The 19,683-nt window shown below is 42.0% G+C and overlaps 1 protein-coding gene across 1 annotated transcript; it reads right to left on the bottom strand.

The window, feature by feature from the left end:
* Positions 1 to 578: 578 nt before the first annotated feature.
* Positions 579 to 4,810, bottom strand: NPS (neuropeptide S). The gene is made up of 3 exons (NM_001030013.2): positions 4,743 to 4,810; positions 4,549 to 4,630; positions 579 to 1,659 (listed from the first exon to the last, which is right to left on the bottom strand). Exons 1-3 carry the CDS (start codon positions 4,748 to 4,750, stop codon positions 1,480 to 1,482), a joined length of 270 nt encoding a protein of 89 aa, NP_001025184.1. The 5' UTR covers positions 4,751 to 4,810; the 3' UTR covers positions 579 to 1,479.
* Positions 4,811 to 19,683: the final 14,873 nt, after the last annotated feature.

Here is a 19,683-nt window from a genome sequence, read left to right as displayed (position 1 = left end):
GGTCTTGCAGACCATCCGGTTTGCAGGGAAGAAAACGTAGCTAGAAGGGCGCAAAGGACCCCGGAGGGCAGGGATGCTGCCTGATGGCTTCTACTTCTACCAAGCTCCTCTGTGCTTCCCAAAATGTGTTTCCCTGAAGTTCCCTGATCCTTAAAATAAATGCTGCTTCCCATAACTTGTATTTGCATGATCTATGTTACTTCATCCCCCAATACTTAGGATGAATCTGTGTAACAAGAGCAGAATAAGCATACACCACAACCATGAAACCACTTGTTTTCATAGAAGTCAGCAACAAATCACAGAAGACCTTTAGGGGCCTCTGTTTCTTTCGGTGGGCACTTGGCACATCACCAACAATATGGCATGTGTAAAGACTGCTTTGTGTAGAAACCGATTTGTTTGTGTGAACCTAGCTGATTACTGTGAGACCAGCTCACCATGAGTACTGTTTTCTGATGTGTTTCTATCTGAAGCTGATGACTAAGGACAGGTCATCCTAAGGCTTCCGCTGCCCCCAGTCTAGGAGCTGTGTGTGGCTTACAGCGAACACCCTTAGTGTGCTGCAGAATCCAATATGCGTGAACAGATTTATTAACATTATGCATTTGAAATAACACGTCAACCAATGTCGCATTATCCTTTTAAAAAAGGAGTGTCAGGAGTTTCAGTGCAAAGAGTGGGCAGTCTTTCCTGGAAGGATGGGGGAAAGGAGAGGGCATTAATCAGCATAGTTTGGGGAACAGGTTTCCAAATGGCTGCCCTGACAACACAGGGCACTCTCAGTCTCTCTGTTGTTGTTGTTACTGGCAGCATTTCTGTGCTTAAAGATTTTAAAAGGCAACAAATTTCCAAGACAAGACAACAAAACAACACCCTATAGCTAAGTATATTTGGAATAGGAAAAGGGAGACAAGAATTACATCTAGAGTGCTCCAGGGATGTTTGTTCTTGGTATCAATTAATTAATCAATTGATACAGCTGTACCATTCACCTTAATTTTGGTTAACTTCACAAGCCCCTTAGAAACAGAAATAGCACATCCCCCCACCCCAAGAATTGAGCCTGTTAAGTCATTTGAGAAAACGGTATTAAAAAGAAAAACAAATATCACAGTATTCGTGTTATGATATTACAGGCAGGAAAAAAAAAATCATACTATCGTGATGACTGTCAACATGCTCATGCTTTCTGGCCAAGTTAAAAGCAAAGCAAAAGTGTCCATCCCATTCAGGAAAAAGTTACTAATGGACCACATAAATTGTTTTTTCTCTCACAAGTGGAAGTTTGAGACAGGTTTGAGACATGTTTACATTTTTTTTCTTTTTTTACTCAATTTACTCTGTACCAGTCAGGAGAGGAAAGATATTTGAGAATAGAGAGCATGCCAACACTCAATGATAAAGAGACGATGGACTTTGAGTACGTCAGTCACACTCTACAGTTAGATTAATTCCCCGAGTCCTTTGCACACTTAGTCATGATTTTGCTCTTTGAAAGGAAGTTTTTTTCATCCCTGTGCCAACTCCATTGCGAAAGGACCTTTTCACAAACATCTTCTCCAAAATTGGCTTTAGAAAAGCTAGTTCTTTGCTCCTGTCCAATCTGGTTGGGCAGCTGTTCAGCAGAATGAGAAAGTAATCAGATTTTCCAGACACCTGGCAATTCAGATGGGTGAGGAGAAAGAGAATACAGCCTTAGGGTTAAAAGTATATTTCAACAGTAACAATTTTCAAAATCGTATGGCGATAAATCCAATATATCAATCATCTTAAAGGCAGAAGTTTTGCTAAAACACAATATCTACTTTATCTAGATACAAAATATTATTTGGGGTGATCTACCCACTTGTCTAATTTTTACACTACTTATATACTTGCTGCTATTCCGTATTTACATCATGCACTACACATAAGTTATCTTGTTGCTGTTATTTTAAAAAGAATATTTCAAGCAGCACTAATTAGCCCTGGGAATTGTTTTTGAAATTCACTTAGAAAAACAACCCATAAGGATCAGACTCTAGGTGTCAATCAGAACCACTTTTCTCCTGGGGCCTGTCCTGGGCCATTTGCCAAGTTTCCCCATAAGGATGTCTTGATACTTGAACAATGGCATCTTCAACTTCTGACTTTAGTTCAGGTCCTCATCACTGGCTCGAGGCTGGATAATGTAGGAGAGTGTAGGGTGCTTAGTGGTGGAAGAAACAGATCTGCAATCTTAGAGTTCAAACTGGCCTTCAGGAACCTGAAGTTCAACCCCATATTTTGCAGATAAAAAAACTAAGTACAAGACCAAAGGTGCATGCCCCATGTGACAGGGCTGGAGATTCCAAGAGGCAGCTCTGACCCAGGGCTTGGGTACGAATCATCAACACTTGTTGTGTTTTCCCTCTTGCATGGTTTCAGAGGAATTATAACACACTGATAAGATGCTAATACAAATTTCACCAATAATGCAAAGCACAGATTTACCCATGATCTGTGTGCTGCTTGCATTATGGGCATCATCTTGTCCTACTCCTAAACAAAACTCTGTGAAGTAGATACTATTATTTTCAAGGCATCTGACTCTAAGTTTAGGTTTCTCAACTATACTAGAACTACAAGAGGAAAAGGAAACTGAGTGCTTTTATTATCAATAAAGAGACATACTACAAGGTAAAACTCATACTTTTTTTTCTATCTTGGTGCAGGAAAACAAGTGTGGTCTCAGGTTACTGTATGGAAGTCGAAACGGGGCCAGAGTGCATAAAGCGTTCCCTGTAATTCTTCACCCACGCGTGGGTGGTTTACTGAAGATTCAGTGCAACCCAGACAAATCATTCCCACTGGCCTCTGGGGAAAAAAAATGGGCTTTTTCCCCCCTTTTTCATCTCAGAGAGTTTGGTCAGAGAGTTTCAGAAATATTGGTCATGAGAAAACCAATCAAACACTCTTAGTCGGACATCCACTATGTATTTTTCCGTGTGCTAACAGAGGAAATCTAAACATGATAGAGAGAACGCCTTCTATTTAAAATCCCCAGCAGGGAAGGGCCTCTGAGTCATTGCAGGAAGGGAAGCAAGCCAGTTCTTTCCAGAAATACTCATGATGCCACCTTTATACTGCAAAAGGAATGTATCAGTTCTGGTTATGAGATTCCTGAAACATCCCTAAAAAGACACTGATGCACTTTGCTGATCGTCGAAGGCAGCCCTTGCCAGGGCAGACTCATTAACATAATAAGATTGTATATTTGCCTGGTTAATGGACTCAGTGAAGTTCGCAACAAATATTATAAAAGCCTATGTGTCGTCTGCCTGCATAATCATTCACCCTAAGCAATCAAATTGGCATGAATAGCATCCACACTCTTACTACGGAACTAGGTAATAACAAGAACAAAACTGTCACGTGCAAAAATAGAAATAAGGAAAATGCAGTGAAAGGAGAAACATTTCATTTATGGACAAGGAAGTCTCATAAGTATTTTAGAACAAAGTACATTCTTAATTTCTTTTAAAAAAGCTACAGAGAAGAGCCTGTTATTCAACAGAAATGTCATGAGTAAACCTTTGGGGAAAGAACAGAAAGTAATTAGGAAGACACTTGAGAAAATATACCAGTATATGGATTGTGACTCATCAGCTTGATCAATGTGGTGTCTTATAGAATTGATGACTAAATTAGTGTTGAATGCTCATAGGAGGAAACCAAAAAAAAGAAGCTATATTAAATAAACAAGAAATAGAAAAATGACAGATGCAAAGATTAGTGAAAAGGCCAATAATATAAATAACTAGATCATTATGTTCAGACATATATTTATCACTTAGGATTTATGCGACATCCCTTTATCCTAAAAGTAGTTTCATAAATCACATTGATTTCAGTCATTATAATGTGACAGGTTACGTTTTAGTGAAAAAAAGTTCAAGTTCAAAATGCCGTCAATGACAAAAGATATTTTAAAATTATAAACAAAATATTGACATAAAGGCAACTGAAATATTATGTAGAAATAATATTAAATATTCCAAAGAAAGATATTTATTTTCTGAATGTCTTGAACAGTTCAATGAACGTAGGAGTTCAATCAATATTCTCTAATAAATATATGAATTAATATTTTATGTGATATTTTATTTAGAGCTAACGTTTTATCTATATTCTGCATCTGAAAAAATTAAACTGTTTTTGAAAAATGACCACTTTATTTTTAATATAGTTTCCATGGTTAAGTGTTCACTTTGATTATGAATGAATGCATGTGGAATAAATAAATTGCCATTGGCAAAAAAATTACTTTAGATTGAGATGAATATTTCCCTTTGCAGGAGCCAACCCTAAATAATTCAAAACAAATTTGAATATAGTCCAGTGTTACTTGTCACACTAATATTTTCTTTTACTAATGTCATCAATCTGCTGACTTTTTCCCATTGAGAACTCTAATAATAAAGGAAATTACTTTTCTGTCACATATTCCTTGAAAGTATTTGGAATTTACATAATTTACCATTCTAGTCATCTATTTAAATATCCACAACGGAGGCAAATCCTTACCTTAGAAGATGGAACTGGATAACACCAAAACACATGCATTGTGGACAGCGACAGAACTAGGATGAGATTGAGTTTTACTGAGCTGCAAAGTAGAAAAAAAGTACAATCAAGATTTAGTCTCAAGTAGGCAAGAATAAGTAAAACAGCATATGAAAATGCAACATTTTTCTTTGCAGAAAAACGTAGCCTTTTACCTAATCATTTTGGACTTCCCAAAATCTGTAAAGATAGGTGGTTTTATTGCCAAATTTCTCACACTTACTCTCAGACCCTCATTGGGTGGCCCTTTTATACCAGAAAAGTTCGGGAGTAAAAATGTCATCTCATCCCTCCTATATGACTAATTGTTCTGTCTGTGGCCTTTTGTTCTTGTTAAGAAGAAAAGGACATAACATATGGGCATTGTCATTGAGCTGCCAATGATCGACTTCATTTAAAGTTTGCCATTAAGAATGTCCTTCAAAACCATTGTCTTCGAGACTGAATCATTGTGGCATGGGTGGCCAGAGGTCTCAAAAGGAAACAAAAGGTTTTTTTAGCTTAGAATTTAAACCTTTAAGAAGGATGACATTCTTTCCTTGAATGTCCCAGACATTATGTTTCAGAAACTAACACAAAAGAAATACTTACAGGAATAAAGAACATCTACCCAGCTGGGCACGGTGGCTCACACCTGTAATCCTAGCACTTTGGGAGGCCGAGGCAGGTGGATCACCTGAGGTCAGGAGTTTGAGACCAGCCTGGCCAACATGGTGAAACCCTATCTCCACTAAACATACAAAAATTAGCCAGGCGTGGTAGTGCACACCTGTAATCCAGCTACTTGGGAGGCTGAGGCAGGAGGCAGGAGAATCGCTGGAACCCGGGAGGCAGAGGTGGCAGTGAGCCGAGATTGCCCCACTGCACTCCAGCCTGGGTGACAGAGCCAGACTCTGACTCAAAACAAAACAAAACAAAACAAAAACAAACAAAAAAACACATTTACCCAAACAACTCATGCAGATTATTTACATTTTCTACCTTAGATTTCTTTCCTTTAGGACTTCAGCAGTTAAAGCAGGAAAATAAATGTCACACCTTTTCCGCTAGTCATCGAAATAAAGGAAGGACACTGTGTATCCCCTGTCCATGCCATGTACTCCCAAAAGTCCCACGGGCTCCCAAAGTCCCAGGCCCACAGTTCTGGGAGAGCCTGCTTTTCATGGCTTCCTTTTTCTCCCCAGGGTATGGAATTTCTTCAGGCAGCCTTTGCTGTCCTTGCACTTCAATGGGCATCTGCATTAATAAATGGATTCAGGAGCTCTAAGTATGAACAGATGTTGCTGAGGCTTACAATGGAGAAAAACACCAAGGGAGGTGCTTTCTGCTTGGATAACTAGTGTTTCTGAGATGATGCCAACAGTTTTTGAATACAAAGCAACCAAGGATAATCCGTGCCTCCTCGAGATCAGCACCTTTTGGAGGACAAAGCTGCCCTGTGTCTGGGACAGTTGCTGCCAATTTGTTGGCACTGCATTTCTTTCTTTGGGGAACTGCCATTTGCATGATTTTTATGTAGCTGTCAATCATACAGTCACAGTTTGCCATCACAAGGAAAAGCAGATGACCTGGACTCTCAAGAGAACCAAGCTCACAAGATTAGAGCCAAGTTGAGGGGCTGAGGAAGTGATCCAAACTACTTTGATCAGTGTTCTTATGGGACATAGTGTGGATATTAGGAGACAAAGGGCCTAAGAGCACAAAGGGACTGAACACACATATTTACTTTTGGTTGTTTTAGCTAAAACACACACACACACACACACACACACACACGCAGGAACCCAAAAAGAATGCAGAAGGATTTTATTAAGTGATAAACAATTGATCAAGTGGATCTGAGAAAGGTGCTTACTGAAATACCCCCAAAAGACTCAAGTTATTTTTGCATGTAGTGAAGATGGTACCAAAATGGAGGGTTAAGTGGAAATTTGTTTAAGAATCAACTCAATCAATAGCACATCCTCTCCCAACTTCCCATTGCCAGACACTGTCTACTCTCTAGAATTGGCAGGAGATGACAGGTTTATTATTTTTATTTTTTATTTTTGAGACAGGATCTCCCTCTGTTGCCCAGGCTGAAGTGCAGTGGCATGATGATGGCCCACTGCAGCCTTAACCTCCTAGGTTCAAGTGATTTTCCCGCCTCAGCCTCCAAGTAGCTAGGACCATGCGCCATCATACTCAGCTAATTTTTTAATTTTTTTGTAGAGACAGAGTCTCACTGTGTTGTCCAGGCTGGTCTCGAACTCAAACTCCTGGACTCAAGCGACGATCCTCCTGCGTTGGCCTACCGAAGAGTTGGGGTTACAGGTGTGAGCCACTGCATCTAGTCAGAAAGGTTTATTCTAAGGAGAAGGTAAAGAGAAGGAATCAGGTATAGTGAAATGAAAGAGTATCTTTCTAAAAACAAAGATTGAATAAGGATTACACTCAATGCCAAGACTCATGGATCTCTTCCTTGACACAACTCTCAGCACACTGCCAGACAGGTCTTAAACTTCAAGACAAGTCAATGGAAGATCCTCCTATGAGAGGCCCAAGAGGAAAAATCTACAGATACAGACGTTAAGATTTCTAGTAAAAATATCTCAGCCAACTGCAGTACACAGAAGTCCACAGTTGACAATTCCCAATAACACACAAAATCCTGCCATGGGCTTTTTAGTGTCCACTTTTAAGCAGACAACCCAGAGACACACTAAAATGAATGAAGGATATTTATGAAGTCATAATCTAACAAAAACAAAGAAGATAAGAACTCCATAGCCATAGTAATTTATCATGAAAAATGGAGACCAAAACATGCAGAAAAAAATAACTCAAAGGAAGTAAGAGAAAACATAGGAGAAGAAAACCTTAAAAAGAAACACCTTAATATTGTTCACGAAAAGGGAAGATACTGAGATATTGTATCTACAAATAAGAAAAGAAAGCTATAAAAGAGAAACATTGAGGACTCATGAAAAAGCTCATGAAAAAATAAAATGATTTTTAAAACCTTAGAAGAATTAAAAGATAAGGTTAAATAAATCTCCCAGATATCAGAGAAAAAAAAATGAGAGAAAATTAAGATAATAAAAAAATAAGAATAGTTTAACAGGTCCAACACAGAAACAAAAGAATTCTACAAACAAGAATAGAAAAATGAGGGGGGAAGGAATTATCAATAAAAAAAAAATCAGTATCATGTCCCATAACACAAGGCTGTGACTTTCCAGATGGAAAGGACTAATCAAGTTTCCAGCACAATGAATAACATTCAACCCAAACCAAGGTACATCTCATAAAATTTCAGCAAATTGGATCCTACCAGCTTCCAGATGACCTACAGAGTCTCAGAAGTCAGAAACACTTTGGACTTCTTAAAAATAACCCTGGGAGCTTAGAAGACAATGGAACAATGTCTTCAAAACCCTGGAGAAAAAAAATATTTTTAATCAAGAATTTATTCCCAATGATTCAAGAATAACCAGAATGTATTACTCTCCATTAATACTATAATAAATATTTTCAAATATGTAAGATCTCAAAATTATACTTCCCCCAACCCTTTCTCAGGAAGCTACTTCAGGATGTACTCCAACAAAATAAGTACATAAACCAATAAAGAGAAAAACATGAGATACACATAAACAGGCCATGAATACAGGAAACAAAAGAAAAACTTCAGGATGACAGCAAAGAAAGATCTCCAATGAGAAGTGCACACAAGACCTAGAGGGCAACAGATCCATATTGCTGTGGGTTAGAAAACTCTGGGAGACACTTCTGCAGAAGTATGAAAGCCATAGAATGTCTGAACGTCTTGAGTGGAGAATCAGAAAATTAGAGAACTTGGGAATGAATTAGTGATAAATCTATAGAAAACTAAGCAAAAGAAAAGAAAAAAGAGGAACATGTATTCACTCCAATGAAACAGTATTATACACAAAAAAGAAGTGTGTATTTCACAGTTAACCACTTGACTCAGCTTGTAGTAGTATTTACATGGTTATAATAATGTCATTACCAAATAATAATCTAACAATAGAATAATTTAACTATAGTGGGAGCTGGGTTTAGGGAAGGGTATATTTCTGTGGTGAGGTGAATTGCCTAACTTCTATAGAAGGAATTCAAGACATGATGAAAAATTAAAAATCAAAATGTACTATATAATTTAGAAAGAATAGTAAGGTAATCAGCTTAAAAGTTTGAAAGTGATGACTCCGGGGGAGGAAACTGAACAAGAAGCAGAGACTGCTGTTTTTGTAAAAATGCCCCTTAGAAAGATTTGATTCCTTAAATATGGTGCACCATTAACTGCAATGAAACTAAAGCTTTGAAAAATTACATCATTATGGACTAGGTATGCCTGGAGATGCCAGAAAGCACCTGTACAACTGCATTGAGAAAGCCTGCCTGATAAGGAAGCGTACACCAGAAGCCAGAACTGAGAGATGGAGAGGAGAGGGAAAAGGAGGGAGGGGAGCAAGAGGGAGAGAGAGAGAGATAGATGAAGAGGGGGAGAGAGAGAGGGAGAGATGGAGAGGAAGAGAAAGAGAGAGAGGGAGAGGAGGCAAGAGAGATATGGAGGGGGAGAGAGACAAATGGAGAGGTTGGGAGAGAGAAGGAAATGGAGAGGTGGAGAGAAAGAGGTAGAGAGAGAAGTAGAGAGAGTTGGAAGGATGGAGGGGGAAAGGGAAAGATGAAGACATAGAGAGAGAGAGAGACAGAGAAGGAGAGAGAAAGAGAGACACAGAGAGAGAGAAACAGAGATAGAGAGAGAGAAAATGAGAGGTGATGATATTGTTTAAACTTTTGGCTCCAACCATGCTTGAAACTGATTTCTCTCCTTCGATTCCCCATTTACATACACCAGCTCCCACACTCCCTTTATACAAACTAGTGATTGTAACTGAAAAAATTTGACTAACATACCCCAGGCTGAATACAAAATAATAATAATGGGCCTCCCTCCAAGATAACAACTTCTGGTTTAGACATACACCTATAACCAATCCAAATCATCTCACCCCCAGGCAGATGGAAGCTGGACAGATGACAGCTCTTCTCACCTCTGCCATCGTCCTCACAGCATCCATGCATTCACTCATTCATAGGACAAGGTTCATAAAGGGAGCAAAGAGTACAAAGTCTTATCATGAATGAGGCTAATGGGATATTTCTGGCATGTATTTGGGCTGATAGATGAGATCCTTGTTCAGACATATTCACTCCCTCCTGTCTCCCCTCTCCATGCAGAGTGTACTTTCCCACCCTTCCACTTTGAGGATGGCCACGTAACTTGTTTTAGTGTATAGATCTCAGCCAGACATAATGCTACAAAAGGTATGAAAGGCACTTGCTCTCTTGCACGTCTGTTATTGCCCTGAGAAGAACATGCCCATGTCAGGTTGCTGATCCCAGGAAGACAAGAAACTCATGGAGAAGAGCTGCCCAGACAGGCCAACCTAGATCAGCCACCCCAGCATGCAGATTCAGGAGCCATGATAAATGGCTGTTGTTAAGTCACTGAGTTTTGGGGACTATTGGTAGCAGAAGACTGGTACAGTAGGTGTTCAGTAAACAATCACTGAAAGTCTTGAATGCAGCTCCTCCTCAAATGTAATCCCACTGGCCTTCCTTCCCCAAACACAAACACTTGGCATCATGAATAGGGTTAGGAACCTCTCTCCTAACACTGACCACTGACCAAAGAATGATCACCCCTCATACATAGTAATAAAGATTACAGAGTAGAAACGACTTAAAATTAAGTTTTCACTGGTGTAATTGGCAACCCACATGTAGAGAAAGGAAACTAGATTCTTATCTCTCACCATATACAAAAAATCAACTCAAGATGGATCAAAGACGTAAATCTAAGACCTGAAACCATAAAAATTCTAGAAGATAACATTAGAAAAACCCTTCTAGACATTAGCTTAAGCAAAGACTTCATGACCAAGAACCCAAAAGCAAATGCCACAAAAACAAAGATAAATAGATTGGACTTAATTAAACTAAAACGCTTCTGCACAGCAAAAGAAATTATCAGTAGAGTAAACAGACAACCCACAGCATGGGAGAAAATCTTTGCAATCTGTATATCTGACAAAGGAATAATATCCAAAATCTACAAGAAACTCAAACAAATAAGCAAGAAAAAAAACCAAACAATCCCATCAAAAAGTGGGCTAAGGGCATGAATAGACAATTCTCAAAAGAAGACCCACAAATGGCCAAGAAGCATGTGAAAAAATACTCAATATCACTAATAATCAGGGAAATGCAAATCAAAACTACAATGCGATTCCACTGTACTCCTGCAAGAATGGCCAAAATCAAAACATAATAGATGTTGGCATCGGTGTGGTGAAAAGGGAACACTTTTACAGTGTTGGTGGGAATGTGAACTAGTACTACCACAGTGAAAACAGTGTGGAGACTCCTTAAAGAACTAAAAGTAGAACTACCGTTTGATCCAGCAATCCCACTCCTGGGTATCTACCCAGAGGAAAGGAAGTCAATATATGAATAAGATATTTACACACGTATGTTTATAGCAGCACAATTTGTAATTGCAAGAATATGAAACCAGCCCAAATGCCCATCAATAAACACATGGATAAAGAAAATGTGAGATATATATATATATATATATATATATATATATATATAAAACCCAACCATATATATATAACCCAACCATAAAAAGGATAGAAATAATGGCATTTGCAGCCACCTGGATGGAATTGGAGACCATTATTCTAAGTGAAGTAACTCAGGAATGGAAAACCAAACATCGTATTTTCTCACTTATAAGTGGGAGCTAAGCTATGAGGATGCAAAGGCATAAGAATGATACAATGGACTTTGAGGACTTGAGGGAAAGTTTGGGACAAAGTGAAGGGTACAAGACTACACACTGAGTGCACAGGAAGCAGCTGTACACTGCTTAAGTGATGGGTGCACCAAAATCTCAGAAATCACCACTGAAGAACTTATTCATGTAACCAAACACCACCTGTTCCCCAAAGACCTACCAAAATACAAATAAATAAATAAATAAATAAATAAATAAATAAATAAATAAATAATAAAATTAAGTTTTCAAGGCCTGGGCCTGCCCACAGGAACACCTCCTGCCTTTGAAAGTAACCTATGCCATGTGAATCAATCACAATGTTTAGCTCAAGAGGCGTTCAGTCTACCATTTACTCATTGGATCCATATTGTTTGGTCATCACCCACATACTAGGACCTGTGCCAGATGCAGGGGACTTGGAGTGAACAAGATGCCCTCGACCCCTATCTCTTGTCTTCCTGGAGCACTCAGTGAAGGCTCAAATAGCAGGATTTGCTTTTTAATTCTGAGCTTATTAAAAGCAGCACCCAGGAAGCAGCTGTGCATACCTTTGGGAGAGAGCAGGGATGGGGCTCAGGTTACGTAAATGGCCCTGACTTCTGAGGCAAGGCCAAGACCTCAGCATCTCAGCTTCCTTCCCAAATCATTAATAGAGGCTTGGCTTCCTCAATGAGAAGCAGAGACTTTCACCACTCTAATTAGGGTCTAGGATCAGAACGTCCCAACCATCAGCAGCGTCACCCTCTGCTGCAAATGACTAATGCAAGATATTTCTTTCAACCAGGTTTTAATTGTGGGGAGGAGAGAAAGAAAACTGTGCTCTGGATGTTTAAAATCATAGGTGACTACCTGTCACACACGATGGAGGGTAGAAATGGGAACGGAGTGTCAGGAACCTCAAAAGGATTCTGTCTGGTACAAGATCATGAGGGTTTGCCTGGCACTGGACCATCTCTTGGTGCTACTTCTGATGTGTGATGTCTACAATGAGTATTTAGGGTGCAATTAGAATGTGCAAAGACCAACTGTCCACACCAAAAGCGAAGGTCAGCACCCAGCTCCATCCTGGAATTTGCCAGACTTCTCATGGAACGTTGACCCTCTTCTTTGTCATGAGGTAACTGTCTTAGAGTCACCCAAGCCCTCTTCACACGTTTCCTCCTAACATCAGTGTGAGACCAAGAGTGAGCAATTTCTTTCTTTCTTTCTTTCCTTTTTGTTTTTGACTTTTGCTTCTCATTTGTCAATGCTAAAGTGTTTGAGACACTTTCTGAATCACCCCTCAGAAGTTCAGTACGTCAAATCAGGCATATTTTGGACTGAAAATATCAGAGGAGGCCTTTTCTTATTCCCAGAGTTTCCTGTTGTCATACCAAAAAACTTCTTACAAGGGCCAGCTTTATTGCTACTGGGTTTAGCAGCTTGCCAAAAGCAGGACTTAAACAGGTGTTAGACTGATTTTAAGGAAACAAGTGACAAGCTGGAAGAGGTTGGCAGTTCAATATAATTTAGGGTTTTAGTGACTTTGAAACAAATTCTACAATTGATTTCATTGTCCCTAATTATAATGCACATTAAGTCCTGCATCTTTCTGCATGTATGGAAAAATCGATTTAATTTTACTGCTTCTTAATTCATACAACTGTTATATCCTCTGAAAGTATAATTAAAATGCAGAATGTGTCTAAGTGCATTTTCTGGTTTTATACTAGAGTGGGAGAAATAAAGGCTTGTGCAGAGCTTAGTTTAATTTATTGAAATAAATCATGGCTCCAACTCACGGAGGCTCCTAAAATGCTTTGTTAGAGTTTTCATATATGCATTCTGAATGGGCCCAGTGCTTAAGATCAATGCTCTACAGAAAAAAAAGCAAAGAAAATCCAGAAGATGATAGTACTCATGGCAGCAGAATACAAAAAGTGCAAGCAATTCTTGTACGTTCTAGAGCACCGTTTCTCAACACTGGTGCTACTGGCATTTTGGGCTGATGACTCTTGGTTGTTGAAAGTTGCCCTGTGCATTGGAGGAGATGTGCAAGCAATTCTTGTACGTTCTAGAGCACCATTTCTCAACACTGGTGCTACTGGCATTTTGGGCTGATGACTCTCGGTTGTTGAAAGTTGCCCTGTGCATTGGAGGAGATTTGGCAGCAACCCTGAGCTCTACCCACGAGATGCCAGTACCACCAGTACCCCAGTTGTGACAAGTGAAAATGTCTCTAGACGTTGCCCACATCCCCTCGGGCAAGGGGGAAGCAAAAGCACCCCCAGTTGAGAACCACTATTCTAGAGAGAAACTCTATGTTCAGACTCTCCTGGTGGAGGTGAAGAGGCAGGGCAGTCATAATGCTTTACAATCAGGGGTCACAGTTAATTGGCAGCATATTTTTCTTTATTGATAGTGCATAAAATAAGGAAAGGGGCGCATGGCGATCTGAGGACCTGCAGATGGCTGGGTCTCACTGCCACAAGGGCCGAGTGGGAGGACACAGAGGATTCCCACAGTGCAGGGCATGGGTGCCAGGCCACAGCATCTGGACTTAATTCTGAGGACCCCAGAAGCCACCAAAGGGCCACAAGCAGGGATTGGGCCTAATCAGATCTGTGTTTTGGAAGAATGATCTGGCTGCCAGAAGCAGGCAGAAAAGAATAGGAGGGTGAATGAGCGGGGCAGTGCTGAACATAAAATAACAGCTCATCTTATGATTGATGGAGTCTTAGATTCAATGAAAGATGGTATTTATTTTTAGATGCTATGGAAGGCAACAGCATTTGGGACAAAAGGCTTATGTATTACATATTGATTTAAACAATTAGTAATAAAATATGCTATTAGGTTTTCTTTTCACTGACATATGTTCTTAGTTACAAACTTCTACATATGGTCTTATTTTTCTTGTACTTTTTTTTTTAATGATACTCTGAATTTGTTTTTAAGAAGGCAGATGTTACACTAGGCATGATTTCATCGTATCCTAAATGGCATTCTGTTTAGTAAATTCCCATCAATCATTGATGTGGTATCTATGGTTTACTATGTATATGCCTGGATCTTGCAATAGCCTTTTTTTTTTTTTTTTTTTTGACGAAGTCTTGCTCTGTCGCCCAGGCTGAAGGCAGTGGCATCATCTTGGCTCATTGCAACCTCTGCCTCCCTGGTTCCAGCGATTCTTCTGCTCAGCCTCTCGAGTAGCTGGGACTACAGGCCCGTGCCACCATGCCTGGCTTTTTTTTTTTTTTTTGTATTTTTAGTAGAGATGGGGTTTCACCATGTTAACCAGGATGGTATCTATCTCCTGACCTCGTGATTCACCCGCCTCAGCCTCCCAAAGTGCTGAGATTACAGGCATAGCCAAGTAATGGCCTTTCTAAAGAACCACCATAAGAGGGGAAAATCCTGCTACAAAGCACCTTGCCCTGCCAGGGACAGCACAGCCTCCTGAAAGCATTTTCAAGGAAGACTCTTCGCAGGAACCAACACTGAATTTATGCATTTCTCAAAGAACCAGTGAGGGTCCTCTACGTGCCAGGGACTGGATGAGGTTCTGGGGTGCAGTGATAAGCAAACACCAAAGAGGGGTAAAAGCAGGAGATATGGGAATGTCAGGGTGAGACTGGGGTGGAGCAGAACACAGGAGGGGGCAGGAGCAGCATGTGCTACAGCCAGGGCAGGGACGGAGCCCACAGTGATCTGAGGACCTGCATGTGGCTCAGTCTCACTGCTGCAAGGGCCGATTTGGGTGGCCCCAGCAGGTCCCCATCGTGCATATGCGCCAGGCCAGAGCATCTGGACTTGATTCTGAGGGCCACAGAGGCCAAAAAGGGCCGTAAGCAGGGGCGGGGCCAGAACAGATCTGTGTTTTGGAAGCGCGCTCTGCCAGAAGCAAGTGGGATGGGAGGGTCAGCGACTGAGCAGAGGGCCCACCCTACAGGCTGTGGTAGGAACCCAGGTGAGCATATGGGGCCGTGGACCAGGGCGGTGGCAATGAGATGGGCACAGGAGCAAACTGACACTGTTACTAATTGGATGTGTGGGTGTGATGAGGAGATCTTTATCACCAGCTCACTGCAGCCACTCAAAAACCTGCCCCCACCAAATGTCAACTCAGTCCCTTTCCACCTGAAGTGCTCCCAGTCACCCACCCCTCATGCTCTCCTGCCCCACAACACTTCACCCTCATCATTGATGTCTTCATTTCTTCTGTTTGTTTATTTTTGGTATCCTGCCCTATTCCAACCAGAAACAGGTAGTTTACCATCTTGTTCACTGCTTTATTCTGCAGACCAGAACAGAAATATCTCAATAGTCATTTGTCAAATGAATTCATTAATGAAATAAAGAGAAGAGAATGAGTGCATCGTAAACAGCAAAAGGATTATGGCAAAGTTTTGTTTCACAAGGGAGATCATATGTTCAGTTTTACTCTAGAGAAAGTGTGTGTTTATTTATGCAACAAGTACTTTTAGAGCTTCTCTCGGGGCCGTGCCCTGTTCTCACCAGCCACAGGGTGGACGAAGAGGAAGCCTAAACGATGAGAGCAACAGGGATTGTCTTCTTCCTCCTCCCTTCCCTTGCCTGCCTGATGTGCCACCCATCACCCACCCCCACTCTCTTCCAGCCATGGTGGGGGCCAGGCTCGACATGGGTGAGGAGGCCAAACTGCCGTGAAAGTCTGGGGAGACCAGAGTCACCTTTGTGGGATACATCGCATAAGTGTGTTACATATTTTCTCCAGCAAAGACAGCAGCACTGGAAACAGCCCCTGGGAGTTGGCAATGGGTGTCCAAGAGTCTTCAGAGGTAACCTAGGGTAGCCATGAGGACGTGCCCAGGATGCTTCAGGTGAGTGTCATGGCTGAGTAGAGCCAGAGTTAGGGGACAAGGTAGATTGATTAAGGGTGGCAATGGGGTTGAGGGAGAAGAGGGTGCCACAGATGTAAGGGGCAGAAATGAGGAGGAAGAATGGGAGACATGGCCACAGGAGGAAACTGCAGCCCCTCGCCTGGTGGGCATCACAACGTTGGAGAAGCCAAGGGGATGTAAAGGTCCCACCGTGGAGAAGGGGAAGCCAGGATCATGAACGGCCTCTCAAGACATCTGTGGGCCAGGCAGAGGGGCAGAACTGAGCCAGGTGCGGCGTCCCGCTGGAAGGTACAGAACCTTCCTCTTCCTTCTGTGCCTCTCAGAGATTAGACTAAGATGACTGGGGAAGACAGCCGTGTGTGCCGGGCGCCGTGTGGTTGCTTCACACTCACTTCTGTACTGCATCCTCCCCATGGTGATGGGAAGCAGGGGCTGTTCTCATCCCTGCTCATAGATGTGGACACCCAGGCATCATCTGGAGTCCGGCTTAGACATCCAGGTCACTCTCACGATGCCCCAGCCAGAGCGTGACCCCACACAGCTGTGCCAGAGGAAGAACCGGAGCCTGCGGAGCCACCAGCTCCAGGGGCCCAGCGCTGCCTCCCCTTCCTGCTTCCCTCCTTCCTGCTCCAGAGACAGCTTCCAGAATGATCTCCCTAAGCATGGCAATGCAGATAGCAGGTGACGGGGCAGGGAGCAACGCTGGCCTGGACAGGGAGGCCCAGCCAGCCCCCATCAGCCCTCACCTTCTCGCATCCCAGACAGAATTTTGTCTGGCCTCCAGAGCCAAAAGGCTCAGAAACAACATAACAACAATCTTCAGGCCCCTCGGGGGCTGCTAGCTTCAAAGCCCCTTCCCTGGAGGCAGTGCTCCAGGCCTCAGTGATGCCAGTGAATCCCATCTCTCAGGACAAACCTGCTGGCTATGTTCTGTTTTCCACCTCTGTCCTCATCTCTCGCTCTCTCTTTTTTTGTTTTTGCAAGGTTTCAGACCTCTCATCCATAGATTCTACTACCGAGTTTTTATGAGTACCATAGTTATCTTCCAACTACATACCCCTTTAAACTTTACAGTCTTTTATTAGGGTTGTATTCATGGACACATAAATACCAGGCACTTGAAACTTTATCTACTGGAAGCTTCTGCTTTGGCCTACAGAATGATCCTGATCTCCCAGCTAAAATAATTTTGTGTCATTATCAAGCTCCTCTGAAAGACAGAGCTTTCTGAATCTCAGACCCCTAAACAAGATAGCGATAAATTTATCTCTTCACTCAAACTCCCTCTTGTTATTTTGTGAATTTTTTTTACCATTTTTGAATTTTTTATTTAGAATTCTGCAGCTATCTGCGACTATTAAGTATAATTAATTTCCCTGTGAAATGAACACTAAAGCCTGATTATAAACATGACGTCTACACTACATGTGGTTTGGGTTTCGAGCGGACTTCCGGTGGTTGCCACCTTGCATTTTTAGACAGATTATGAATACAGTTGCTTGTGAAAATTGCAAGGGCATCCAACTAATATTTTAACCACACAATTAGTAACAGATACCACAATTCACTCCTGCACAAATGAGAGGCTGCTGAGCCCAATAAAAGCAGCTTGTTTCCTCTAAATATCTATGTTCTTTATTCTTACCTTGTCAGATGCTTAAGTGGGAAAAATTTGAAATACACATCTGAAATTGGCCAGAAGGAAAAGTTAAATGCCTAATAAGAGTGGGTGTGGCTGGAGGCAAAGATGAGCAAACAGGAAGGCTCAGGCATGGGGTTGCTTTGGCAGAAAATCTTACCAAGCTGGGAGCAGAGCCAGAGCACAGGAATCCCTCCACCAGGACGGGGGCAGTGTCTGGCTTCCTGGGAGGGAGAAGGTTTGTGACGGCTGGTGTTGGGGCTGCTGTGTTTATTCCCTGGCCCTTCCTTCCTCTAGCCGAGGATGTGTCACTGTGATCTACAGATTCTACCCAGTGGCCCCCTTCCCTGAAAGAAGGAGGGAGAGATCAGCCATGGCTGTCACCTGCTTTCTTCTTTGTGCTGCAAGAAAGGCAAAAAGATATGTGGAGGATTCGCCTGCGGGGCTCCAACCTGAAAACCACTAACAATAGTGTGTTTCGAGTCTTGCATTTGGATAACACACTCATTTTTTTTCAAGCTCTTTCAGGTATTTGGTCCTTAAAACAACTTGTAAATTTGGTCATATGGTTTGGCTGTGTCCCCATCCAAATCTCATCTTGAATTCCCACATGTTGTGGGAGGGACCCGGTGGGAGGTAATTGAACCATGGGGGCAGGTGTTTCTCATGCTGTCCTACTGATAGTGAATAGGTCTCCCCAGATCCGATGGTTATGAAAAACAGGAGTCTCCCTGCACAAGCTCTCTGTCTTTGCCTTCTGCCATCCATGTAAGAAGTGACTTGCTCCTCTTTGCCTTCCATCATGATTGTGAGGCTTCCCCAGCCACGTGGAACTGTAAGTCCAATTAAACCTCTTTCCTTCGTAAATTGCCCAGTCGCAGGTATGTCTTTATGAGCAGCATAAAAACAGACAAATATATTTGGTAATGTTTATTTTTATTTTACACATGGGGCGCCTGAGACACAGAGAGGTAAATGAGAAATAACTATTGTCTCTCTATTTTCTCTATCTGTTTCCTCATCATGCTCACACCAGGATTCTTCAAGGGATGAGGCATCTGGAAATGTTTTAAACTTAGCATTGAAAGCTAATTCAGTTGCCAATAAGGGTCTCCTTGTATTTAAACAGTAGCCTGTAGGTCAGCCACGTGTTGGTGGGTTTTTTTCTGCCATCTCCTGCTCCTCTCCCAGAGGCACCTGGGTAAGGTAGGAACAGCTCTGTGGTAGCTGCAGGTAAGGGATTCCTGTTTCTTGGCTGCTCCTTCCTGGAGCAGGGCCATCCCACAGGCATCTGAGACTAGTGTGTTCTCCTGTCCCCACCCTGTCCTGACAGCTCCATCTGCCCCTAGCTTGCTCACCTGCAGCCTCACCAAGCAGCCTGGCCCATCTTGCTCTGGTCCTCTCAGGCAGGGACAATGGCTTTTTGACTTTCAGTTGCCTTCCACTGAGAGCAATAGAAACTTCTCTATTCCTCCCTGTCCACCTGATGGTGCATGGAGCCCTGGGGAGTTATCTTTGGTCCTCTTTCTGGCTTAGAAAACCCTAAGTTGTGGTTTCTGTTCTCCTGTGGTCACCCATTCTGGTTCCGGAATCAACAATGAAGCCCTTCCAGAGACTCAGAAGAGAGGTTAAACCCCTCTGCTTCTGCACCATTTCTATTTATATGAGTCTTTTCTACTGATCCCCTCTGCCACCAAGTTTCCACTGTGGACAGAGCTGTGGATGGGAAGGGGAGACGGGAG

The sequence above is a fragment of the Homo sapiens genome, chromosome 10 (genome assembly GCF_000001405.40).
Source record: "Homo sapiens chromosome 10, GRCh38.p14 Primary Assembly".
Lineage (NCBI taxonomy): Eukaryota > Metazoa > Chordata > Mammalia > Primates > Hominidae > Homo > Homo sapiens.
This window is presented reverse-complemented; position numbering and strand designations above follow the sequence as displayed.

Coding starts and splice junctions, on each gene's coding strand:
- NPS (NM_001030013.2), bottom strand. Junction 1,660..4,548: donor ATCCAGTTCCATCTTCTAAG/GTAAGGATTTGC, acceptor CTGAATTGCCAG/GTGTCTGGAAAATCTGATTA.